At 40.9% G+C, this 27,256-nt stretch overlaps 1 protein-coding gene across 2 annotated transcripts in view, besides 3 other annotated features; it reads right to left on the bottom strand.

Annotated features, from left to right (window-relative positions):
- The window catches only part of MAP2K6 (mitogen-activated protein kinase kinase 6), a 139,169-nt gene extending 115,100 nt beyond the window's left edge, over nucleotides 1–24,069 (bottom strand). The window contains exon 1 of one of the 2 annotated variants that reach the window (NM_002758.4): nucleotides 23,766–24,069. In NM_002758.4, coding sequence (NP_002749.2) covers nucleotides 23,766–23,781 — 16 coding nt within the window. In that variant the 5' untranslated portion in view covers nucleotides 23,782–24,069. Of the gene's footprint in view, nucleotides 1–23,488; nucleotides 23,518–23,765 lie in introns of those variants that run through there. The other variant, XM_047436411.1, reaches the window with a different exon arrangement.
- Nucleotides 8,077–8,256: an enhancer, noted in NCBI's record as "active region_12654". NCBI's record gives its function as "activates an Ori minimal core promoter by ATAC-STARR-seq in GM12878 lymphoblastoid cells {active_cell/tissue: GM12878}" and the evidence as "EXISTENCE:reporter gene assay evidence [ECO:0000049][PMID:35858748]".
- Nucleotides 8,347–9,163: an enhancer, noted in NCBI's record as "OCT4-NANOG-H3K27ac-H3K4me1 hESC enhancer chr17:67425744-67426560 (GRCh37/hg19 assembly coordinates)". NCBI's record gives its function as "activates a minimal SCP1, AML or CMV promoter by ChIP-STARR-seq in naive H9 embryonic stem cells {active_cell/tissue: H9 hESC(naive)}" and the evidence as "EXISTENCE:reporter gene assay evidence [ECO:0000049][PMID:30033119]".
- Nucleotides 12,464–12,758: a silencer, noted in NCBI's record as "tiled region #9140; K562 Repressive non-DNase unmatched - State 24:Quies". NCBI's record gives its function as "represses a minimal TATA promoter and a strong SV40 promoter by Sharpr-MPRA in K562 cells {active_cell/tissue: K562}" and the evidence as "EXISTENCE:reporter gene assay evidence [ECO:0000049][PMID:27701403]".

Raw genomic sequence — 27,256 nt, 5'->3', positions numbered from 1 at the left:
AAAAATAAAATAAAATAAAAATTAGTCCAGTGTGGTGGTGCACCTGTAGTCCCAGCTACTTGGGAGGCTGAGGTGGTAGGATGGCTTGAGCCTGGGAGGCCAAGTGAGCCAAGATGGTGCCACTGCATTACAGCCTGGGTGACAGAGCAAAACCACATCTTAAAAAGAAAAAAAATAAAAGTATCAACAATTTTAGCTCAGAGGATGTACAAAAAAATGCAGAGATTCATAGTTTGCCAGCTCCTACCATATAGTGATTATGAGCTCAGGCTAAAGAGAGTCAGATATGAGTTTGAATCTCTCCCTCACAATTCACTGAAAGTAAAACTTCAGCTATTGTATTTAGTCTTCTATGACTTCCATATAATTTTTTGTGAAGAATTAAATGAGATAATGCATGTAAATGAGCTTAGCAGAAGGCCTGATAGAAAGCCAAACCCAAGGTAACCAAAACAACAAGCAGAAACATTGGACCCATGGAAATGCAGGCAACCCAATTAGTTACATCTAAACCAGAATCAAAACCTGTGTGTCCATCTACTCAATGCAATGCTTTTTCCAGTCCCATAGCTATTGGTAGACTTAGCTTTACAACAAGTCAGCCATTCATGTGGCACCAGAAAGTCTCCTGTCCCCCTCGGAAAGGTTTCCTCATCCCTGAGATTCCACCACAGGAGCAACACACATTCCCCTGGATGAGTTCTCAACTCACTTTCTATTAGCTACACTTACGTGTAATTTATTGGCTACTTTTTCAGCGGCTCTCCAGATACTAGGTTTTCATAGGAAATATAAAGAGAAGAATGTGGTAAAGCAATGCAACAGAATTATTATTCAGCTATAAAAGGGATGAACCACTGATACATGCTACAACATGGATGAACCTTGAAGACTTTTTGCCAAGTGGCAGAAGTCACACACAAAAGGCCATACATTGTATAATTCCATTTATAGGAATATCTAGAATAGGTGAATCCAAAGAGGCAGAAAGTAGATTAGCGGCTTCCAGGGACTGCAGGAAGAAGGGTTGAAGAGCAACACCTTAATAAGTACAGGGCTTCCTTCTGTGATGATGATAGTGTTTTGGAATTAGATAGTGGTGATGATTGCACAACCTTGTGAATAAACAAAAGGCCACTGAATTGTATACTCTAAAATCATTAAAATGGTGAATTTTGCATTATGTGTGTTTAACCACAATAAAAATATATACATATACAGTTGGCCCTTGAACATCAGGGGTTTGAACCACACAAGTCCACTTATATGTGGATTTTTTTTCAATAAAAGTTTCACCAAATGTGTCTGCCTCTCCTGCCTTCCTCTCCACCCCTGCCACCCCAAGACAGCAAAACCAACCCCTCTTCTTCCTCCTCCTCCTTAGCCTACTCAATGTGAAGACGATGAGGATGAAAACCTTTATGATGATCCATTTCCGCTTAGTAAATATATTTTCTCTTCCTGATGATTTTCTTAATATCATTTTCTTTGCTCTAGCTTAGGTTATTGTAATAACATAGTATATAATACACATAACATACAAAATATATGTTAATCAATTGTGTATGTTATTGGTAAGGCTTCTGGTCAACAGTAGGCTATTGACACTTAAGTTTTAGGGGAGCCAAAAGTTATATACAGGCAGGCACGGTGGCTCACGCCTGTAATCCCAGCACTTTGGGAGGCCAAGGCGGGAGGATCGCCTGAGGTCAGAAGTTTGAGACCAGCCTGGCCTACATGGTGAAACCCCGTCTCTACTAAAAATAAAAATAAATTAGCCGGGCCTGGTGGCAGCAACCTGTAGTCCCAGCTACTTGGGAGGCTGAGGCAGGAGAATCACTTGAACCTGGGAGATGGAGGTTGTAGTGAACCGAGATCATACCATTGTACTCCAGCAGCCTGGGTGACAGAGTGAGACAGTGTCTAAAAAAATAAATAAATAAAAGAAAAGAAAAGAAAAAAAGAAGAAAGAGAGAGAGAAAAAAATTATATGCAAAGTTTCAGCTGCATGGGGGGGTCAGTGTCCCTAATCCTTACATTGTTCAGGGTCAACTATATAGAGGACACATGAGGATTCTGCAGGTGTGACAAGATATTCTCCTATGAGAAGAAGGAAGAGGAAAGACTAGAAAAGGGAGGATGAATTTAGCAAAAACCAACTTAGTCCACTTTATAAGTTTGCATAAGGCTCGCCCTGGATACTGATAAAAATAATTTATTTATTCTAAAGGTACTTGTTGACCACCTACTACGTGCCAGGCACCGAGCCTGAATCTGAGGATAAAACATTGTAAACAAGATAGAAAATTCTTAAAATTCTTAAAATTCTTTCCAAGGTTTAAATAACCAAAGCACAAACTCCCATATAGGTATTTTTGTAAAACTATATAAAAAATATTTACTGTACAATCACTATTATAAAACAAAAATAATTATAGTATTTTTTTTATCAATTTTCATTTAACCCTACCTATTAGCATATCCAGCAGTGAGCGAAAGGAAGTAAAAGTTCTTTGGATCAAGTAAATCAAAGGGCTGTGCTCTTGGAGGGTGAGGGATTAGGATAGCAGAAGCTCCAGGAAAAGGATGGAATTTAGATGAGATCTGTTAATTTACAAACTTGTTATCTTTCCAAAGCTAAATCTCTACAGAGGACAGAGAAGTGTGACAGCTGTTCACTTCTTTTAAAGTGTTGTTTGCAGTCTAACAATCTAATGCTGGCAGCACATTTGTTTTTTTTTTTTTTATTTTAAATCGATTCCAAATGATTGGAACATATTTGAAATTATTGTTTTTTCGGCTGGGCACAGTGGCTCACGCCTGTAATCCCAGCACTTTGGGAGGCCACAGAGGGCAGATCACCCGAAGTCAAAAGTTCGAGACCAGCCTAGCCAACATGGCGAAACCCCATCTCTACTAAAAATATAAAAATTAGCCAGGCATGGTGGCGGGTGCCTATAATCCCAGCTACTCAGGAGGCTTAGGCGGGAGAATCACTTGAACCTGGTGGAGGTTGCAGTGAGCCGAGATCACGCCACTGCACTCCAGCCTGGGCGACAGAGCAAGACTCTGTCTAAAAAAGAAAAGAAAATTTTTTTTTTAACTTTTACTAACATCAGATCTAAACCAACTCACAAAGCCAATGCTGTTCTTTCCTTGAAAACTTCACAACCTTTCTTAATTTTACATTCTACCATTTACAACTCTTTCTTTTCTTTTTTTTTTTTTTTTTGAGACAGGATCTCACTCTGTCACCCAGGCAGGAGTGCAATGGCACGATCTCGGCTCAAAACCACCTCCACCTCCGGGTTCAAGCAATTCTCCCGCCTCAGCCTCTCGAGTAGCTGGGACTACAGGCATGTGCCACCACACCTGGCTAATTTTTGTATTTTTAGTAGAGACGGGGTTTCACCATATTGGCCAGGTTGGTCTCGAAATCCTGACCTCATGATCCGCCTGCCTCAGACTCCCAAAGTGCTGGGATTACAGGCTGAGCCACGGCGCCTGGCCGCATTTACAATTCTTATTCAAAGGCCATTCTTCCTCTATCTCCATTGTTTATCTTTTATTCCTAGCAGAGTGAAAATGGAAAAATGCATTTTGGAAAACAAACATGGGTCAGTTTTATATATAAATTCAGGTTACTATTAGAATATGGTTTAAGTCATTTATTTTTTCAAGCTTCAACCAAAAACAAAAGCATGGATGATATCCTTGAGCCCAACTGGAGTGCAGGAAAGGTAAAATGTTTGAGTTATTTCATCTGCTAGCATTCACCTGTCTTAATTTTACACTTTTGCTTTTGTACCCTATCTCTGTATTCACATTTTTTGGGCTTAATGGATTTTCTTAATCAAATTAGGTAATTCTTTAAATAATAGTATGTAGTGACCGTCCAGTTACAGACAAAAAAACTGAGGCCCAAGGCGGTTAGAGGATGTGGAGGAGATCACAGATCTTGTTAAAAATATAGATAACTAATTTTTTTCTCTGATTTGTTGCTAAGTTTGTTGCTAAGAACTATGCAAGGCTGTGGATACAGACTTTGGAAATTTCAAGATTAAAAAAAAGAAAGTGGAAAAATAAAAAATAATGTGAACTGCTTATGAAATTTGGAAGAGCCCATGTTAGGTGTGGCTTTGCATTTTATCATAACCTTGGTGCATTTTCCTGCACTTTTGTAAGACTCTGGAACCCTGGAGCACTCTCCTGTTTCAGAGATTAAGACTGACTTCCAAAGGCCCAGAAGCTCCAGCTCTAGAACACAGAGGCTGAGTTTTCTGTTCTGTAAAACCTCCAGAGTGGCAGGCACTCAAATGTGAGTGAGCAGCACTCACATGACCTCATGGAAGAGGCCAATGGGGAGAGCCAGCAAGCTCCCTCGTTCTTGGCAGGCAGGAATGTTAAGTTACAAAAAGCAGAGGGGGAGACATGTCGTATGAATGAAAACCGTATAATCAGACCTCAAGGCATGCCCTGTTGAACAGAGGCAAGTGCAAGTTGGAGAAATGCCAACAAAATGTCATTATGAGTTGAGTCATCAAATGGTAGTTAAAGAAAACTACATTCAGTACTAATCAACCCATGCAAACTCTCTTCTCTGTAAAGGTTGGTATCTTTTAGGGGTAGATTTGCCAGAGGAAAGCTCTTCAAAGCCAATTTGGCTATCCATTCCATTCTGAGCTCAGAATATTAACAAAAACCTGTTGCTAAGGGACATAGATGCATAGTTGAGTCTAAAATACAAAATGATGCTAATCTAGCTGCTGGAAGAAACCCTCTCTCGGCAGCACTTCATAGTATATTGAAGTCAAGCAATCAATGCCTCCTCAACTGCAAGGCCTTCTGTACCCTGGCTCCTGTCTATTTCTCCTATCTCATCTCTCACGGGTCTGCTAGGTGACCCCTACATCCCAACCATACAGAACTTTAGAATTTTCTAGATACTCGTGTCATTTCACTTGCCCCACAGACCAAAGCTGTATCTGCTTTGACTGTCCACTCCCAATCCTTGATTCTCCCATTCACCTTTCAAGATCCAAGCAGTTAATAATCACTTTCCCTTTGAGGTATCATTACATCACAAACATTGGCAGAGACATCTGTCCCCCATTAGAATGTGAGTTTCTAGAAAGTAGGAATCATCTCTCTTTACACTCTCCATGCCTAGCAGTGAACCACACAGTGAAGCAGCTAATACATGTCCAAGGAATTAATAAATAGAGGAATGGCTACATGCACGATTGAACAGACCCACTCAATCAGCAGATGACCGACTGAATAAACAGAGGTCCTGATTTCCACCATGCCTGGTGTTCTTGTTTGTTTTATATCTTTAAGCCTCAGCAGTTAGTTTCTGTCTTTATAGGAAGACTATAAGGGCTCCCCAGAGAGTCAAAGTCTGACTTAGCTTCAAGATGCACTGAGATCCTAACAAGAGCCCAGGCATGAGTTTTACAAGATCTGTGTTCCACACTTGGCTTACCGCTACCTTGGCCTTTCCAGTTACATAATCTCTCTCGGTCATAATTGCTGCATCTATAAAATGAGGTGGTTGGGCTAGCTGATTTCCAAAGTCCCTGCTATGTGTAATATTCCATGATTCTGAAGTCTTGTCTTTAGATTTTGCCTGATATCTCTTGCCCTGACTCTTTGTACCACATATCATTGGGCAACTGTCACATCATTGGACAATTAAGCTTGTACTTGTCACTTAACCATTAGAGAGCATCAATGTGCCTTTTCTGGTTCTCTTGGTTCAAGAGCATTGCCTCAGTTTGTTCACCAGAGGGTATTGTAGCCCTTTTTACTGTTCCAGTGGTCTTGTTATAAAAGTAATCAGCAACAGAACAAATCATAGTGTATATGGTCTGAGTCTCTTCCCCTCACAAAGAATATAAGCAAATCCAAGGAGATGCATCTGTAATAACCAAGATCCTTTTTTTTTTTTTTTTTAATTTTAGGTTCCAGGATACATGTGCAGAACGTGCAGGTTTGTTACATAGGTAAACGTGTGCAATGGTGGTTTGCTGCACCCATCAACCCATCACCTAGGTATTAAGCCCCACATGCATTAGCTATTTGTCCTGATGCTCTCCCTCCCCCACCCCTCCCGATAGGCCCCGATGTGTGTTTTTCCTCTCCCTGTGTCCATGCGTTCTCATTGTTCAGCTCCCACTTATAAGTGAGAACATGTGGTGTTTGGTTTTCTGTTTCTGTGTTAGTTTGCTGAGGATGATGGTTTCCGGCTTCATTCATGTCCCTGCAAAGGACATGATCTCATTCCTTTTTATGGCTGCATAGTTATTCCATGGTGTATATGTGCCACATTTTCTTTATCCAGTCTATCATTGATGGGCATTTGGGTTGGTTCCAAGTCTTTGCTATTGTGAATAGTGCTGCAATAAACACACTTGTGCATGTATCTTCATAATAGAGTGATTTATATTCCTTTGGGTATATACCCAGTAATGGGAATGCTGGGTTAAATGATATATCTGGAGTAAAAATCAAGTTCTTCATGATCAATAGTATGTAACCTTATGCAGAGTTTGTATTAAAAGAATGATGTAAAATGCCACATGTCACAACACTACAAAGCTTCATTTAAATATCAGTCTAACCAGCCATATTCGTTCCTTTCATTTGCTTAATGCATTTCCTTTCAGTCTGCGTATGACATCAGCCATTTGACTGTTCCTTCTGTGACCCCTACCCAGATAAGCTGGATCTACAGCACCTCCAAGTGGGTAGTGAGCCATGGGGTTAATGCCTCATATGCACAGGGGTGAACACCTGACTCAGATCCAGCCAATCCGGCAGCCACTCCTCATCACATTATCCCATTTTTCTCTTTTTTTCTGAAAGACAGAGAATGTCATCTCAGACCAGAAAGTTTAGCCAAAATATGGTGGGTACTGGAACAACTACACATCATATAGATGCAAGAAAGTCACAGAAGGTGAGTCTTTTAAACTATGTGCATGTTGATTGATGAGTGAGCAAAAAGCCTGGTCCACAAGAAAAGCAGAAAGCAGAGAAGACCCTCAGAGAAAAGCCGAATGAGGGACCCTGCAAAGGGAGGGGATAGACCAGATAAAGAAAGAGGGAGGGAGTCAGAGAATGCCTTACTTAGCTCCTACCAGGCCTAGCTATACCTCCTGCAACTGGACTCCATGAAATTCTCCTTAACGCAGACTCTTACTTAAGGTAAAACAAAATACACATAAATACACAAACACATGCACTTATTTGTAATCATAGTCCAGATATATTTATATCCACTCCTCCTGGGTCACAGGCATCTTTCCATTAATGGTACTGCCATCTCCTCACAACCTATTACATCAAGTGAGTATTTGATAACTTAAGCTATCCCCTTACTATTATAATTATTATATATAATTATAAGACATAATTATATGCATAATATACAATATAGTATAATTGTATATTATACAATAAGGGTGTTTCTATTTTTCACTGTTTGGACACAGCAGTGGTATAGAAAAGAAGCATGAACTTTAGTGTTTAAATAAACTAGATTCAAATCCCAGCTCTGCACCCATTAACGGTATAATCTGAGACAAGTTATGCACCAAAGTTGCAACTTCCTCCTTTGTAAAAAGAAGATAAATATTGCCTACTGCCCAGGTTTTGAGAAGGATTAGACCTAATTAGCAAAGTGCTTATCACAAAGACTCGCACACAGTAAGCACTCAATAATCACTTTTATAGACTAGATTCTCATAAATAAAAATGCTGGATCAAAGGGTACGAAAATTGTCCAGGTTCTTGATACGGGCCAAATGCTTTCCCAAAGACTGAGTGAGTCGCTCTACATCCCCCTGATACATTGTTAGAATAGAGTAGCAGTATAACCCTTCCTCTAGCACTTGCGTTTCTTCTATCCAGCTTTGCCTTGAATGTAGAAGTCCAGAGCTCAGGGTTGCTTGTTCACATTAGACTGCGTGCTCCCTCTAACCTGACAGAGAAAACCAGTAGCTGGTTTCTGTCTTAAACGAAGTGGCTTGACAGTCCAGCTGATTCACTGCTTCCTGTTTTCCTCTGACTCCATTGGTCCCACTTAGAGAGCTGTGTACAGGTACTCAGCATGGAAGATAAGTCCGGGCTTGTTTGAAACAAGCCCCAAACTAGTTTCTGTTGCTCTTTTTCTGTGTGTCCTTCTACACCCTACCTACTCAGGCTTCTTATGAGTGCATCTTCACATAATAGCTAGATGAACAAAGATTGCTGCTGAAGCTGAAAGAATCAGAGATGTATAATCATTTCTTTCAGGCAGAACTAATATGGAATAAAAGCTCACATGATTGCCTGGATTCTGCAGCATAGTTTCTTGAATCTCTTCAATCTCTGATTCCTGGTTTCCAATTGGCTTCTCTATTTTATTCTTTCTTTTTTTTTCTCTTTTTGACAGAGTCTTGCTCTTTCACCCAGGCTGGAGTGCAGTGGCACGATCTTGGCTCACTGCAACCTCCACCTCCCAGGTTCAAGCGATTCTCATGCCTCAGCCTCCCGAGTAGCTGAGATTACAGGCATGTGCCACCACGCCTGGCTAATTTACTTTTTTAATATGTTTGTAGTAGAGACGGGGTTCCACCATGGTGGACAGGCTGGTCTCGAACTCCTGACCTCAAGTGACTCACCCACCTCAGCCTCCCAAAGTGCTGGGATTACAGGCATGAGCCACTGTGCCCGGCCTATTTTATTATTTCTTTCTTCCCCTTCCACATTGACTCATCTAATTCTTGACTTTCTGCTGAGCCTCTGCTGCTCACCTGTTCTTTTGTTATTCGGATCACCTGTCCCACGACTATCCCTCTACCTAGCTCCAAGGGATGCCCAGGCCCCACACCCCAGCTTCACCTTCCTGTGACTTTCTCTGGGTTGCCCACCTGGCCCCCACACTTGAAGCCTGCTGCCATCAACACCCCAGCAGGATAATCTGATGGATGATGGACATCAGCTCTCAGCTGGAAAAGTTCCTTTCCACTGACCTGACCCCCAACCACCTCACACAACATGCCTAACAATTTCTTTCCTTAGTGCCCTTTCTTACTGAAACAGCTTCTGATATTTTACTCATAATTTTATACTAAAGGTACCCAGATCACATAAAGAAAATAAAGCTGCATATTAGCTCTAGGAAATATACACATAGTTGAAAAGACCTTTGTTAATAATCAATATTGCAAGAGCTTGGTAACACATGAATACTTTTTTTTTTAAGACTTACAGGCCTTATCTAAAAATCAGCTTTGCCATGGCTTGGTTCTTACTCTCTCTCTCTCACTCTCCTTTTAGAGGCAAGGTCTTACCCTGTTGCCCAGGCTGGAGTGCAGTGGAATGATCACTGCAAACTTGAACTCCTGGGCCCAAGTGATCCTCCCACCTTAGCCTCCCAAGCATCTAGGGCTATAGGCATGCACCACCATGCCCGGCTAATTTTTTTTTTTTTTTTTCACTTTTTGTAGAGACAGAGTCTCACTATGTTGCCCAGGCTGGTCTCAAAACTCCTAGCCTCAAGTGATCCTTCTGTCTCAGCCTCCAGCCTGACTGGGGTTTACAGGCATGAGCCACCAGCCCAGCCCACTCTCTCCCTCTGAAACTTTGTCCCAGTAGGACTAGGACCATTTGTTACAATGGGAAGGATGATCCTTTCTCCCAACCACCAAGTCCTGTCCCTGTATCTGTACATCAAAGCTGCCTGTGACAACCACAGGGAGTGTTGTGTAGGTCTCATTACCACTAAACACAAATTCAGTTTTGGGAATCAATACAACAACGTGTGTGTGTGTGTGTGTGTGTGTGTGTTCTCTAATTTAACACACCCCAGTTTAGAACCATCCAGTCTGTCATTAACAATTAAAAAAAAAAAAAACAAAAACAAAAACAGAAGAAAGGGCAGGTAGTCTGTCCGTTCAAGGACCAGATGGGAAGTCTCTTGTTTTACTTCCTTATTCTCCTGAGAACCACACTGCAAGTTCTGCTATACCAACTTAAGGTCCTTCCTCTACCAACAGACTCCTGATCTTCCCAGGCTGAGTTATGCACCCACCTTCTTTGGTATCCTACTCGTATCTTATACCAGAACTTACGTGCATTTCACACAGAGTATCATTAGTTTGCTGACCATGTTTGCCTGCCATGTTATGGGTTGAACTATGTCCTCCTAAAATTAATATACTGAAGTCCTAACCCTCAGCTAACCCTCAGCATCTCTGAATGGGATCTTACTTGATGACAGATGATGTCATACTGGAGTAGGGCGGGCCCTAACTTTAATATGACTGGCTTCCTTATAAAAAGGGGAAATTTGGATACAGACACAGACAGGCAGAATGCCATGTGAACATGAAGGCAAAGTCTGGGCTATGAGTATACAGGGGAAGAAATGCAGAGATTGCCAGCAAACACCAGAAGCCAGGGAAGAAGCACAAAACAGATTTTTCCTTATGGCCTTCAGAAGGAGCCAGCCCTGCCGCCAACTTGATCTTGGACCTCTGGCCTCCAGAACTGCGAGACAATTAATTTCCGTGGTTTAAGCCACCCAATTTGTGGTACTTTGTTACAGTAGCTCTAGCAAACATAGACATCCCACTAGAATATGAGCTTCTTGAGGGTAGTAAGAGGATTCTGTTCATTTTTGTATCAGTCTAGCACAGAGTGAGGTACAGATAATTTATTTGGTTGTTCTATAATGCTTGTTAAATGCAATCCAGAGACAGCTAGTCCTCTACCTGCCATGTCTTGCTCAACACTGACTAGCTATCCTGTCCTTAGATAGGGTTACATCAAAAAGAAAGAATGAAACTCGGGATGGAAAACAATTATTCCAGACTGAATATATCAAAATTTCTCAATCCCATTCTTAAACCAATTTCAGAATTAAATCTGCATTGTTTTCCTCTACTTTCCTTACAAAAATAGAGGCTCATTCAGGAACAAAGTCCCAAGCAAGAAGACTTTGCAGGCCACTTGAATGAGATGATATGGCTGACAGGTCTTCTACCTGGCTGGGTCATATGTTATCTTTAACCACACAGCAAAGTGAGGCCAAAACTGCCCTGTGGCTTACATGAATCTGAGGAGGGGTGACTCAATTCACCTCCTTCACACTGTACTGACTCTGTTTAAATGGAGTTATTGAGGGAAAGAAGGTGATTAAATGCTAGGTTCACAGAGAAACAGCCCACTGTGAGCCCCAGAGCTATACGTCACTCTGTTTTTGAAACCAAAATAATAAAAGAAAAAATGTATTTAATCTATTAATTGTATTAAATATTTTATCTTTTATCCTGTATTTTTATCTTCCTTTTTATTTTTATATGTTTATCTTTTTATCTCTTAGAACTGTATTTTTCTGAAATTAAAAATAGAAAATAAATTATGAACTCCCTTGCTAATATCCAGTATCATGCTTGAGAAAGTCAATTTGGTAATACGAAGAACTTTCCAGAACACTATTTTACTTGAGGTAAATAAAATGAGAATTCAAAAGTACATTGAACAGGTTTCCTTCTCTTACACTGATTTCAGATGATTCGAGAAAAACAAAAAGAAATGGAAAAGGCAGGTTGGCATGTTAGCAGGTTATAAAAAATGAAAATTACAGCCGTGGCCAAGCTCTGGAAAATATTCCCTGACCCAGCTAGACGTTGATTATTGAACCAACAGCTTGCTTATATAATTACAGTGTGTCTATAAACCTGGTTGATATGATATACTTGTTTAACTATTAACCTCTAGATTTCCTGGAGTTTCCACAATCCAAAAAACACCTAAAAGTATGAGATATGATATATTCCATTTATTCACCTATTGCAATCACAAGCAATAGCTACAGTATTAATCTTGGTAAGAAAAAGGAAGTTCTTAGAAAACACAAGTAAGGTCTCTTAAGCTTCAGATACTTTGCTGGGGCATTTTCTTTTCTTTTTTTTTTTTTAAATCCTTCTAAAGAATTGCTCTATTTTATTGTTCTATTGTGCCACTGGATACTAGAAGTCAAGAGTCCTTCCCGTACCTATGTTGGATCTAATTTCCTCATTGATTCTAAAAATCACATTGATACCTCCACACCTGTCAACACTTTCCTGATCTCTCTCTTATTCATAGGACTTTCCCACTCAATAGTACCTCTTTTAAGCTAATCTAGGATTCCAGTTTAGATTCTACACATTTTTATGCTTTTCTTACCTCCTCCTAGACAATAACCTCCTTAAGGGCTGGAAGGAAAGGAAGAGTGAAGCAAATGTATGTTTATAGAGAGAGTACTATAGCAAAGTACCTCAAATATAAAGTGCACTCATAAATATTTGTTGAATAAATGAATGCCAAGCACTGGCCAAAGCATGTTACATATATGACCTTGCTTAATCTTCATAAAGACCTCGTGAATGAGTGTCAGTCTTTTTATTTAGAAGGTGAAGAAACCGAAGCTAGAGGTTAAGTAGATTTTCCAAGGCCACATGGCTAATCACTGGAAGAGTAAAGTCAAATGCATTTCTGCCTATTTCTACCCAGCATGATGTCTTAAACATAACAATAGATCAAAAATGTATTATTTGAGCCGGGAACAGTGGCACTGGCTGTAATCCCAGCTACACAGGAGGATGTTTGAGCCCAAGAGTTGAGGCCAGACTGGGCCACATAGAAGACCCTGAATGAAAAAAGCAAACAAACAAACAAAAACCTTTGTTGAATTGATCTAAACAAACTCCTTATCCAAGTCCTCTTTTTAGGTATATGCAGAGTTTGTGATTTTTTTTTTTCAAATGGCAAAGGTGTTTCGGGTACAGGAAGGGGTAAATAAACTGTGAAGACTGCCTCGCAAGGTTTACAAATATCACAAAAAGGTTATCTCTACATTTACTTCAAACTAATTTCCATACTCTGAACTATTCTGTTCCCACTGATTCTTCAGATTCTAGCCCTACGCTTACAGCTATCTCCTCTCATCCCATTTGAAATTGGAGGAGGGAGAATAAAGGAAGGGAATAAATAACTTGTCACTCAACAACCAGACCATCTATTTCCGCAGCTTCGACATGGGATCATGAAAAACAACTGAGGCATAGGTATAGCTGTTCTGCTTTGGCTGGAGAGAAAGCCGAGAAAGAATTCATTGGTTTAGGCCGGGTGCGGTGGCTCATGCTTGTAAGCCCAGAACTTTGGGAGGCCGAGGCGGGCGAATCATGAGGTCAGGAGTTCAACACCAGCCTGGCCAACACAGTGAAGCCCCATCTCTACTAAAAATACAAAAAGTAGCTGGGTGTGGTGGTGGGCGCCTGTAATCCCAGCTACTTGGGAGGCTGAGGCAGGAGAATCACTTGAACCCGGGAGGCGGAGGTTGCAGTGAGCTGAGATAGCACCACTGTACTCCAGCCTGGGTGACAGAGCTATACGCCATCTCAGAAAAAAACAAAAAAAAAAAGAATTCATTGCTTTAAAAGGAAATTCATTTCCATCCCCATCTACCTCCTCTGCCACAAAAACAGGCAATTCCAGTTTCCTCCACTCTGTCCAGTACAAGAGGAAAACACTGGAGATGTGGGTTCATTCATCATTTCAAGGAAATTGTTACATTTACATAGAAACAACCAGGAAGAAAAAAAGTCACTAAGCCAAAAAGGGGCTGCAAAATCCCCACACTTAGGTATGCTGCCACACTGGCCACGTTCTTGTTAGTTTTAATACAATTTAACTTAGATGTGTAAGGAAACACACAAGGTTTGAGTCGGCTTAGTTTCTGTGTGATACAACCTACAGAACAGCAAATGGAAGCAATATTTGTTACCTACATTTTAACATAACATTCCTGTATATCCAGACCAGTAACTATCAGTGGGCCAATTGTAATCAGCCTCCTTCAACCAATGGGCAGTTTCTATTTGGAACTCAACCTTAAGAGTCAAAATGAGTCAGACTCTGTACTCTGTGATCAAAAGACATATAAAGGGACATGTCAAAAAGAACCTATAAATAGCTAGACACAGGTCAGCCCTTCTTAATTACCATACTTGGCCCTGGTATGCCCAAATCTATCCAAATTCCTACAGAATACACTCGTTTTTCATTCTTCGACCATGTCTTTGGTGTAATGGATTTCATACCTTTATTTTGGAGTGACGTCTCAAGTGGAGTCGCCAGGAGCTCAGATTCTGAGGTCAGACAGACCTTGGCTAAAACCTCTGCTCTGCCACTATCGGTTTGGTAACTGAGGCAAGTTCTTAACCTCTCCGGCCTCAGTTTGCTGATCTACAAAATGGGATATCACCTCACTGATCCATAGTGAGAGTAAATGATAGAATTCACATTCATCACTAAGCACAGTATCTGGAGCACAGAAAGAATCACAGCAGTGATACCATCTGGGATGGTAGAAATTAGCACTTCTTTGTACGTGACTTAAATTTACATCATTCTGGATGTGGTGAACAAATCTGGGCTCATTCTACCAAAGCTCCTCTGTCTACATGTAGCTTTCACCTCCCTTCATTTTCAGACCCTCTATCAAAACCTTCTCTCCTAAATATACCCAATATCCACGATGTAAGCGACTCTGTGAGCACAAAGAATATTCGTCCTCAAAAGAAAATTGCCCACCCGGGGTTAGGGGGTTAATGTAAGAAAACAGCTCTAAACTTTGCAGGAGATGATAACTGGAAACCTCTCTGGTCCCATGCAGGGAGGCTTTCACGTTGACACAAAAGAAATGATGGAACCTCTGAGCTGGGTCATGATGATAACCAACAAGCCAGGCAATGGTGGTAGCAGGAGAGTTATTTTTGATTTCTTACGTCGGTGCAAAAGTAATTGTGGTTTTTGCCATGAAAAGTGATGATAAAAAACAATATTACTTTTGCACCAACCTAATACTTTCTAAAGAAATGTGGGATCAATAAGGGGAGGATGAAGAGTCTCAGGGAAGAATTAATAAGCAGCTTCTCATCGAAGGGAAGAAAAAAAGGAAAGAAATATAAAGCAAACAGGAAGAACACAACTAAGGGGAAAAGACCCCAGGACGGGCAAAAGGAGACGGGTAACTTAGTTCAGAGGAAATGAGCAATGACCTACAATTCTTATAACTAGGAGAGACACCACTCAGACGTTTCCTGTGGGCTGGGCCCAAGAGGTCTCTGGCTGAGCAGCAGAGCAGTAGTTATCCAGGTTAACAACTTCCAATTAAAGCCAGAGAGGAATGTTTCTGGGAGCTCTGTCATGAAGAGACCCCAGTATTCGATGGAATAAAGTCATAAAGGAAAGGGTCAACAAACATTTTCTGCAAGGGACCAGATAGCAAATATTTTTGGCTTTGTGGGACATAGGGGCTCTGGCGCAACTACTCAACTCGACAGCTGTCGAGCAAAGAGCAGCCATGGAAAACATATAAATGAATGACCATAGCTGTGTTCCAATAAAACTTTGTTTGTCGATGCTGAATTTGAATTTCGTATCATTTTCATGTGTCATGAAACATTGATTTTGATTTTTTTTCAATCATTTAAAAATGGGAAAACCATCTTCGCTCACGGGCTATACTTAAAAACAGCTGAGGCTTGGCCGGGCACGATGGCTCACGCCTGTAATCCCAGCACTTTGGGAGGCCGAGGAGGACGGATCACAAGGTCAAGAGATCGAGATCATCCTGGCCAACATGGTGAAACCCCGTCTCTACTAAAAATACAAAAAATTAGCTGGGCGTGGTGGTGCACACCTGTAATCCCAGCTACTCGGGAGGCTGAGGCAGGAGGATCGCTTGAACCCAGGAGGTGGCGATTGCAGTGAGCCAAGATCGCGCCATTGCACTCCCAGTTGGGCAACAAGAGCGCAACTCCATCTCAAACAAACAAACAAACAAACAAACAAAAACAACAGCTGAAGCTAGATTTGGCCCAGGAGCTGCAGTTTGCTGCACAGGCCCACCAGTCAGACATCCATCCTGCCTCTGCCACTGACTCGCTATCCAGCCATGGGCAAATTGGTTAACAACAATTGATTTCCTCACTCGTAAATTAAGGATAATAACACCAACTTTGTCCATAGTGTTTATGGGACATCCTAAAGCATACTATATGAAAAGTAACTGGCTTAGGGTAAGTGATGATGACAACAGCCTTGGGAGTGGTACAGGGAGGGGTTGTGATCAGCAGCTCCACCTGGGGCTAATGGTCTGTCCAAAGAAGACTAATCTCAAGAATCTGACTTAAGAAGGGATGTACAGACCAGAAAGTAAAACAGATGACAGGGATGCTGCAAATGCTTATTTAATGCTTCAACTCAGACTGGAGTTGACTAAATTACGATGATTTGGCCAGGCGTGGTGGCTCATACCTGTAATCCCAGTGCTTCGGGAGGCCGAGGTGGGTGGATCACCTGAGGTCAGGAGTTTGAGACCAGCCTGGCCAACATGATGAATCCCTGTCTCTACTAAAAATACAAAAATTAGCCTGGTATGGTGGCAGGCACCTGTAATCCCAGCTACTCGGGAGGCTGAGGCAGGAGAATTGCTTGAAACTGGGAATCAGAGGTTTCAGTGAGCTGAGGTTGCACCACTGCACTCCAGTCTGGGTGACAGAGCAAGACCCCATCTCAAAAAAAAAAAAAAAAAAAAAAAAATTACGATGATTTCTGATAGACTTCATTGTATGGGGATTATAACCTGAATATCCTCCTCAACTCAGAAAGAGGGAGATTATGGACTACATACTGAACCGCATGGGCCAACTCAGGAAGACCATCAAAGGAGACAGAGTGGGGTACAAGCCAGGGAGGAAGGGGCTGGGCAGAGGCAGTGGAGGTGGTCAAGGAGGAAGTGAAGAATCATTTCACTGGGAGGTGATCCTTGCGAAGTTCCCTGTTTTGTTAGAGGGCAGCCAGCTGTTAAAAACACTGTCTCTGGGCCGGGCGTGGTGGCTCACACCTGTAATCCCAGCACTTTGGGAGGCCGAGGCGGGTGGATCACGAGGTCAGGAGATCGAGACCATCCTGGCTAACACGGTGAAATCCCATCTCTACTAAAAATACAAAAAAAATTAGCCGGGCATGGTGGCGGCAGGCACCTGTAATCCCAGCTACTCCGGAGGCTGAGGCAGGAGAATGGCGTGAACCCAGGAGGCGGAGGTTGCAGTAAGCTGAGATCGCACCACTGCACTCCAGCCTGGGTGACAGAGCGAGACTCTGTCTCAAAAAAAAAAAACAAAAAACAACAACAAAAAAAGGATTGTCTCTGACAATCCTTCAGAAGCCTCATAGACTTAAAAACCAGCTCCTAAAACCAGCACAGGATGCAGAAATCACTTCAATTCTATTGGATGGGATTCTTCGGACAATTCATCTTCTCATATTTTTTAAAAAGAAAGTTAGCAGAGAATTGTGCAACCTTTAAATCTGTTCAGAAGGCTTAGGTAGGAGAAATGACACTTCGCCAGCCATTATAAGTTGCTTTTCATGCTGTTCTTGCAACTTCCAAATAATTAAGCAAATACATAATGGGAATATCAGTGCAAACAAAGAAGAAGCACAAGAAGAAAATTGCATTGTAATTTAATTACCCGAAATCTTTCATAAAACTTAGGAGCAAATGAGAGCTTATCCCTACTGATGAAAAATACTTTCATTGTCAGACATTTTTTGAGCACCTATTATTTATAAGGACAATGCTATAAGAGTCAGAGATGTAAAGATATATAAGAAAAGGTTTAGTTACCCAGCAAGGGCTTTCAAACAAGACAGTCCATAAAAGGCAAACAACCATTACAGTGGTTAAAACTTGCAGCTGTACTATGTAGGCACTGGGAATCAAAATGAGAGCATTTGCAAAATATCCTTTGGCAGAGAACTGGTAAGAAACCCCACCACCATGATTCACATGTCACCATTTCTTGGACACAGAAAAATAACCCCTGCTCATTATACCATCAGCTCCCCCTTGCCAGACTGCTCCCAACAAAAACAAGCAAAGCTAAAAATGTGAAATATACTAAAGATTCTGAAGAAAAAAAAATTTTATAAATGTGGATTATTAGTGTTCACGTGTGGTTTAGTGAAAAGAACTTACGGACAGAGAATCTGTAGATCTGACTTCTCCCTGTGACTCCACTCTACTGTCTTCAGGAAAGTCACTCACTTCCAAGGCCTCAGTTAGCTTATGTGTAAAATGAAGTGATTGGACTATAAAACTTTCATAGCTCTAAATTCTATCACTTAATATCAGGATGCATAAATAGGCGCATTTATTAAGGCTATGTTAAGGATATGTTAAATCTGATTGACTTATATGACTTGTGAGGTCATTAAAATTGATTCTTAACAAGAATCTTAAAGATTCTAGACTTAATTATTTTAACAAATGTAGGAAATTTAAGTCAACCACCTTTTGTGATTAGGCATTGCACAGGAAGCTAAAAAAAATTAGATTAAATTTCTCTGCAACAATGCATATAACACAACCAGGTGCTATGTAAGAATTATTTATAAACCTAAAGAAAAACTAATTTTGCCTGAAAAGATAACTGAAAATGCAGGAATGCCCAAAAGTAAGCTATTTCTCAGACTGGAATTTAATCAGATCACTACATTTTTCTTATTATTTTCATATAGGTCTGGATAGCTATAGACTATATAAATAAAATGAGTTTATAAAATATGTGATAGCAGCTTAAGACATTAGGTTAAAATTAAAATTAGAACTCATCAAGGAATTAAATTGTTTAGATACACAGAACCCAACTATCAATCCAGGATTACCTAACCTCTACAATATTGCTATTTTCTGGCTAACTTTGAAAATAATTTGATCCCCAAATTAATTAATTTTTTTTTTTTTTTGAGATGAAGTCTGGCTCTGTCACCCAGGCTACAGTGCAGTGGCACAATCTCTGCTCATTGCAACCTCCACCTCCCAGGTTCAAGCGATTCTCCCAAGAAGCTGGGATTACAGGTGTGCACCACCACGCCTGACTAATTTTTGTATTTTTAGTGGAGGCAGGGTTTCACTATGTTGGCCAGGCTGGTCTTGAACTCCTGACCTCAGGTGATCCACTTGCCTCGGCCTCCCAAAGTGGGGTTACAGGCATGAGCCACCATGCCTGGCCACCCAAATTAAAATTTTAAGGATATATTTCATGAGAAAAAAAGAAATTTGGGCACATGAAACACAAATGTCAAAAAAACTGAAAAATGCAACTGCCTTATCACTAATAATATTAGAGTAGAATATTAATAGCTTTCATCAAACTGCCAAAGATTTTTTCAAATTGTTATACCCAGGATGAAGAAAGGTACCATCTTCCTGAAGAGCAATTTACTTGGCAATATGTACCATTATGCTTGAAAGGACAGAATGGGCACGTCTAAATATTATTGGTAGAAATGAGAATTAGTGTTACCTCTATGAAGGGCAATTTAGCAATATATCTATACATGCCCTTTGACCCAGGACTTCCACCTCTAGGAATCATCCTAAAGAAATAATTGGGCAAATGTATAAAGATGTATGTTCCAGGTATTCCTTACAGTACTGTGTATAGCTGTGCAAAAAAATGGAAACTGTTTGAAAACTCAATATGACATTAAGTAAATGGCTACATTCTTACAAATTAAAATTCACGGTTGTTAAAAAATAGGTAACCTTATGTGTACTACTACAGAAAGATATCCAAGATATATGGTAGAGTATAAAAAAGCAAGTTACAAAATACAATATATAGTGTGTAAAATAACATGTACATACAAATATGGAGATAGTACCCAAAAAACTAACAGTAATTAGCTCTGGGTGGTATGACTTTGAGTGAGTTTTATATTCTTATTGTGAATTTATCTTTGGTTTGAATTTTTTGATTAGCATATGTCATTTTTTTTTTGCAATAATAAAAAGCTATTTTCAGAAGGAAGAAAAGAGAATGGAGAGTGAAGAAGAACTGGACATTCAAAGCCTGTGGTTTTGCTCCCTGGAATTTAATCTAAGGGCATAGTATGCATGATAATGTAGGAACTGGTATGATCATCACGGAAATATTCACAATAGTGAAAGTTAATAAACATTAAGATTCTATTTAAATAAATACAATGGAAGAGGATACTATGAATGTAGAAATATATAAACTTGGGAATATTTTGCCATATATTGGTAAGTGAAACAAGAGGGAACGAAATAGACTTAGTTTTACACACATTTTGGATGCTTCATACACATAGATAGAAAAAAAAAGTCCAAGAGAATAAATGCCAAAGTGTAGACTGCAGTAACTAGTCATTCTTATTTTTCCTTTTCTATGAAATGTTTCTATAATGAACAAGGGTTATTTATGAAATTTCTTTTAAGTTTTAAAAATATTCCTTGTAGATCTTTCAGATTTTAAAATACTGGGGAGTCATTAAAGTAACACTAATCTGAAAAACAAAGACAAGAGAATCTCAACTCTTTTCTCCAACATTAAATTTACCAACCAGAGACCCCTGAAGCCCCCTACAGTTAACAGGCCGCATGCTCTAAAGAACTGAATGCAATGCTAATACAAAGCAAGCTCAGGAAACCCAAGCTACCTATTCTGATTTTGTGTCCTGAGATGTACGGGGTTATAAAACATACTGGCTCAGATTACAGGCTAAGCATGACAAGTCCGTCTGGTACAACCTAACAAAGGAATTTATAGAGAACAAGAAATTTACACATTTCATTTCCCAAGGGTGGAATGAATTACAGAAGCAAAGAACCCCAGTAGAGTTAAGACCTTTCCTACCACTCTGCTATATGCTTCTGAATTGTGCCTCATAGGCATTTCTTACATGATTTACTTATTGCTCTCTAAAACTAAAATAAACTAATATTTTTTAAAGGTGAATAGGAGGAGAAGTGAGAAAAGTGTATTTTAACAGGGTCAAACTTTTTGTGTATTTTCAGGTGAACTGGGGGATGCCAGATCTCCCTACCTCCCTCTTTCTCTCCCTCCCTCCGGAGATCATTATGGCTGATAACAATAGTTTTTCTCTCCCGGGTAGTGTAGATGACACATTTTTCCTGTAGCTTGTCTTCCTGTAGTGTGCAGGAATTCCTGCACTTTCTGGGTGCCCTTCCTGTTAACTTACATTTCAGATTTCCTCAAAAGGCATTCTACTGCTTTAATATTTGAAAAATGTCAACTCAACCCCAGACAGCTAATATAAACAAGCTGAAAAGCATACCACCTAAAGTTACAACTGTGGAAAACAAAATTTCTTTTTAAGAAATTCTTTCTCGGAATCTCACTGTTGGTAAGGCTGTAGAGCAGTAACCCAGTCCTTCCAGCTTCCAGAGAGTCTGTAATTCCTTTGCCTCTGCTGTGCCTTAAATTAGAGGTCTGTTAAACCGAATTATAGTGATCTAGAAAGTTCGTAAAGGTCCTTGAATTGAACATATTGTTAAATTCTTCAATACTATGAGATTGTATCCACTTTTCACTTTTCCTCCCATTTCTTGGGTTAGAATATTAAAAAAGAAGTTTGGTACTGCAAAAAGTATTTTGGCCATTTGAGAATAGCGTAGCTGAATAAGGCCAATTCCACATTTAAAGTCCAGGCCAAGGCGGCTGGCTCTTTTGCCATTTCTAAAATGATCACCCACTTCTTTCTACCAATAATTTTCCTTTCGGACAAGAACCCCATGTTCATTCCAGATGTACTTTCCAAGCAGAATCCAATTAAGAAAACTCATCTGGGTAAATGGGAATTGATTTGAAGGACCACCAGTACCTGATCCATTGTAAACACATCCATAGGGAAGAGTGCAGTGCTAATATCTCCTTTGGCTTCTCAACTCAAAAACTGGCTCTACTAAGAGGGAGCCACGTTCATAGTGAGCCCAAAAATATGCAAAAAGGAGCCTGATTTAGTTTAGACCCTAAAGTCCAAAGATAAGATCACAGTAAACACCACCCTCTTCATAAACCTTCCTGACTATCCCCCAAATAGATAAATCACTTCCATTTTTAAACTCCAATAGCACCATTTCTCTTCAATACCTGTCCTATTATCTTGTATTATAATGATTTCCTTACATTCTTGTTTTCACCAACCCGAAGGAAAAACTTCATTTTAAATATTTTTGTGTGTCCCTAAATCATGTGCACACATACACACACAATACATACATATACATGCATATATATACACACATACATATGTATATACATGCATATCACAATATATTACACATATATTAAACTGAATTGAATGAATGAGCGAATGTTTACCAAATACAAAGTAACTAAATGCCATCTCTTTAATACATCAAAGCATGGACTGCCTCTTCTGAACTATTATTTCTCTACTCAATAAGGAGATTTTTAGGTTTTCCCCACTTGAGGAACATCTCCACCTGATATGTCAATTCCTAGGTTCTTCAGCACTCTTAACTTTTCAGATTTCCATTCTCCCCTAATACTCAAAGAAAAGCAGAGTGCTACTTTGAATGCTTGAGATTACTACTTCCTTCTTGGGCTGCTGAGATATATGACTCCCATCAGGTAGAATTAAAAAGCGGTGCAACAACTCCCCACACTCCCTCCCAAAAAAGTAGCAAAAAGCTTGTTAGACCCTTTAATTTCACCATGTCTTACTCAAAGAGTGCCCCGGGTAGCCTAATTCAATAGTATCTAACACCTCTCTTCATCATCCCATACTTCTCATATGGCATATGCTTTCTCTATGGTAAAGAAACAATTGTTCTGAAACAAGTGACTTGGGGTCCCAGGGGCACCTGACAGCACCTAGTCTGCTCTTTGATGTCATATCAGGAATTTTTTAAATCCCCTTCCCAGGGTGACATTAAGCCTGCAAAATACAACTGTGTTTAAAAACAAAAATTAAGAAAAGAAAATAAAAGAACATAAAGAAAACAACCATAACGTGAACTTCCAACCTATTACAGCTGACTAAATACACGCAGTTACACACTTAAAATATTTCATTATGCTTGTCAATGAAACAGTGCAGTCCCTTCACACTACTGTAATGCTTAAAAGTACAGTTTTACCCCCAATATTTTCCCCCAAGATGCAAAGCATCCCCCAAATGGGCAGACATAAAACATTAGGTCTTCACTGCTGCTTCTAAATTTTGCGAGCCAATAAGCAATTGGTGTAAAGTGCAAAATCTCAGAAGAGCAAGACTCGTCTGCTTTTTTGTGATATGCTGTTATTCACCCTTCACCTTTACTTCCTTTAAAAATCAAAAGTTACCTAATGTTCAAGGCGATATCAATGGAAATTTAGCTAAATACTGGCACCGCAACGGTCTATTTCCCCCAAAGAATATAAGATTACATTAATTTCCTAGTAGTTTAACTCAAGTTTTACCTTTCATCTTCACCTATAGAGTTTTTAAAAGTTTCTATTCCTGTTGCATACAAAATTACTTACAATATCTGTGCATAGTAAAGAATTTTACAATTATATAAAGCCTTGCACATTTAGACGCTACCAACCTGCTCTGTCTCTCCTGACTGTGCAAAAGGCAAAAAGAGCTCAGTAATCCTAGCAGAAGAATGCAAATAACGTCAATGCACAGCTGAACTGCAAGCCCTGCCTTACAGGAACTCTCTGTGTCTGCAAAAAAAGACACATACTAAACAGGAAATGCAACTGAGCTGTGGAAAACCTCAAACTTAAAAATGCACTCGCCAGGCGAAAATTGCATCCATGCATTCATAAATGCATGCACAACCCTTTGCATTTTTGCAACTAATGCAAACAGCCTCTTACCTTTCGACTGAGACATTTTCCCCTTTCCTTTGATGGGGGAGGGGAGCACAAAAGACTTTGCCTTGCTTCTCTTCTGTAGCTAGTTTTGCAACAAAGATGCAAGCTGCAGGCGTGCAATCTTCATGCAAGTGGAGTTTCTCTTGACCGATGCAGCAGATGGACTTTCAGGGAATCAAGATGGAAATGCACACCTTGCAAAACAGACTGGAAAGTGATTTTTCCCCCAGTTGCAACGTTAGGGAAGGCTGTGCTGCAGCTACATGATGGGCCAGGGCTGGCAGCTAAAAGCTCCAAACTTGGAACTGAGTATCTTAGTGCGCAGACGTCCTTCCTGCGAAGGGCGCGAAGGCCGCTGGGTAATGTAGTTCTCCGGCGGAGTCCACGGGGCTCTGATTTAAGGAAACGTGGTCGCCCCGGTCGCTGAGCGAGATAACTGGGTGCGACAAAGATTGCGTCCAGATAAACAAGTCAGACACACACTCAGTAGAGTGATGGGTGAAAAGCGGCAAGGCCAAGACGGGGCGGCAGTTTTGTTCTCGAAAAGCCTCTGAAACAACAGCTAAAGAATATTAGGTTAGCTAAAGAGCTTTTGGCTTGTCGAGAAGGTCTGTTTGGGAGTTTAGTGTGTTGATTTTGCAGCTCAGCACCTGTTGTGCTGTTCTTGCCTGTAGACGTTTTACCCTCACACCTCCGTTTTTTGTTTGTTTGGGGGTTTTTTTGTTGTTGTTGTTGTTGTTTTTTTCCCGAGAGGGAGTCTCGCTCTGTCGCCCAGGCTGGAGTGCAGTGGCGCGATCTCTGCTCACTGCAACCTCCGCCTCCCGGGTTCAAGCAATTCTCCTGCCTTAGCCTCCCAAGTAGCTGGGATTACAGGTATGCGCCACCACGCCCGGCTAATTTTTAGTAGAGACGGGGTGTCAACATTTAGCCAGGCTGGTCTCGAACTCCTGACCTTATGATCCGCCCACCTCGGCCTCCCAAAGTGCTGGGATTACAGGCGTGAGCCACCGCGCCCGGCCACACCTCCATTTTTAAAAACATTTTTTCTAGTAAGAAAAATGTATGGATGATTGGGTTGGCTGGAGGTAAGGTTACCTTTGCTCTGTGGAGAAGATGCAAAGTTTTATTTTGTCAGAAACAATCCAGGTCAGTTATTTCCAAGGAACCCGAAACTCAGTAGGGGGTAGGTGTGGGGAAGAAGATTGGAGGCTTCTCATTTCTCACAGGGTTACAGAGGAAGTTCTGCTTTTTATACATCAACGCTAACTTTATCAAAATTAAGGTATCTAGATGATTTTTTCTCACCTGGGAGGAGAGTCCCTGGCCTAGGGGGAAAGTGGGTGGAAAATGAATACAGTCGAATATCTTGAATTTATTCATTAAAATTAAAAGATACTTGTTGAGTGTCCAGGATGTGCCAGGCGCCTTTCTAGGGCCCTGGGATGTTCATTCATTCTGTACCGCTCACACATAGTGGGTACACAGCACCCTGATGGAGAACGGCATCACCTTTTTCACAAGGAAGCCAGAGATGCTTAGCACAATTCACTGCAAGGAATGGAGAGGAGTGAGCAGGGCATGGGCAAAAATGAGCTCGGACTTATACTTCATGGAGCAGACAGACTCAGAAATGTTCTTTTAAGACAGAGGGAGGAATTGAGGAATTCAAGGAGGTGTGGACAAAGCACTGTGGCAGAAATAAGGACAACCTTACTCAGAAGCTGCCAAGGAGACCTTGTTGCCTTGTGTGCAGGAGTGGTGAGGGCGGGGGAGATTTACAGGTGAGGACTCCACAGGGCCTTAAAAGGTGGGCTAGAGGTTTGGACTTTATTCTGCAGGTACTTGCGGGGAGGTGAAAGGGTCTTGCAAAGGGGCGTAACTTAATCCAAGCATTGTTTTAAGAAAGTAAATTTGCCCTCAGCAATCAAGGTGGGTTGGAACTGGGAGAGGCTAGAGATAGGTTAGGTCAGTAGTGAAAGGCAAAAAGAGGCACTTTGAAAGAAGATTCAGCTAGATTTGATGATTACTAATGAAAACTATTGGAATTGTATTTAGGATGCTGGAAGCCAGGACCATCTGCATAAGGGATGCATTAGAGGGAAGGAAGCCGTCTTATTTCAGCTGCAAACCAGCAAATCAAATCTTAAATATGCAATAGGTTGTGAGACTAACATTAATTTACTTAAGTTGGTCCCCTTTACTGACATTCTTGACAATTAGTGAAGGCAATCTAATCTCCATATTAGCTTCTGCCCCTAAGAGGAAGGCATTGCTGGTCTGTGAACACAGGTGCAAGGACTTTCTAACTCTTTTATTGTCCTTCTAGGCTAATCCATGTTGTCCCTTCCCTCCTATCGTATACACACAAGCTCAGCACCCCCTCAAACCAGCATGGTTTCCTAAGTCTCATTTAACCAGGAGACACGTGTGAAAATCTAGTTCACTTTCCCAAACACTGATGGAGCCAGGCCCTGGGATAGCTGCTGGAGCTTTCTGTAAACTGGCTTAGCCCAGGCAGGGCCTGAACAGCCACCTAGAGCTTGCTTCAATTTGCATTTTATGTGGTCAGCTGCATTGCTCTTAAGTAGCCCCAGACTCCCTTCTTTATGGAAGAGTTCTAATCACAACTTGTCTGGTGCATTTTGCCACTGTCATTACTGCTCTTACTTTCTCTGCATAGGCGTGCGGAGTCCACAGCTGGCAAATGGATTGTAGCTTGAAAGTCAATCTGCAATTCATTTTCCCATAGCACCAACAATATGTTCAGCAGCTAATATACACACACAAGCACACATGCATACACAAAACACCTCTCATCCATAAATTGGCTGAATCATCCGTTTAAAAATAGCAAAATTTTGTATCATATTTCTTTCTGGGAAAAATGTATCCTGAATTTCAAGTAGGAAATTGGGATGACAGGGAACTCAACCTCTCTGTGAAGTCTTGGTTCCCAGAAGAAAAAGTTCTTCTTCCTGCCTTGGTGTTCAAAAGTTTCCTCTCCCACATACGTGGGTGGTGGAAGAGGAGGTACCTGTGCTCTTCTTCCTGCCAGTCTTCGTGGTATCATTGGTACTAGGAGGAGAATCCTCCCCATTGTGGCGTAAGAAGGCAGGAGTGAATTCTGGCAGGTGTCTCCTTTTATATGCACATCAAGTGTTCATCTTCAGGTGGCCCATGCTTCTGTTTTAAATCCCCCATCTTTTTTTTTTTTTTTTTTTTTTTTTTTTTTGAGATGAGTCCTCGCTCTGTCACCCAGGCTGTAGTGCAGTGGCGCAATCTCGGCTCCCTGCAACCTCCACCCCTCAGGTTCAAGCGATTCTCCTGCCTTAGCCTCCCGAATGGCTGATGTTACAGGAGCTCACCACAACACCCAGCTAATTTTTGCATTTGTAATAGAGACAGTGTTTCACCGTGTTGGTCAGGGGGTCTCAAACTCCTGACCCCAAGTGATCCACCCACCTTGGCTTTGCAAAGTGTTGGGATTACAGACG

Source organism: Homo sapiens, chromosome 17 (genome assembly GCF_000001405.40).
Source record: "Homo sapiens chromosome 17, GRCh38.p14 Primary Assembly".
NCBI lineage: Eukaryota > Metazoa > Chordata > Mammalia > Primates > Hominidae > Homo > Homo sapiens.
This window is presented reverse-complemented; position numbering and strand designations above follow the sequence as displayed.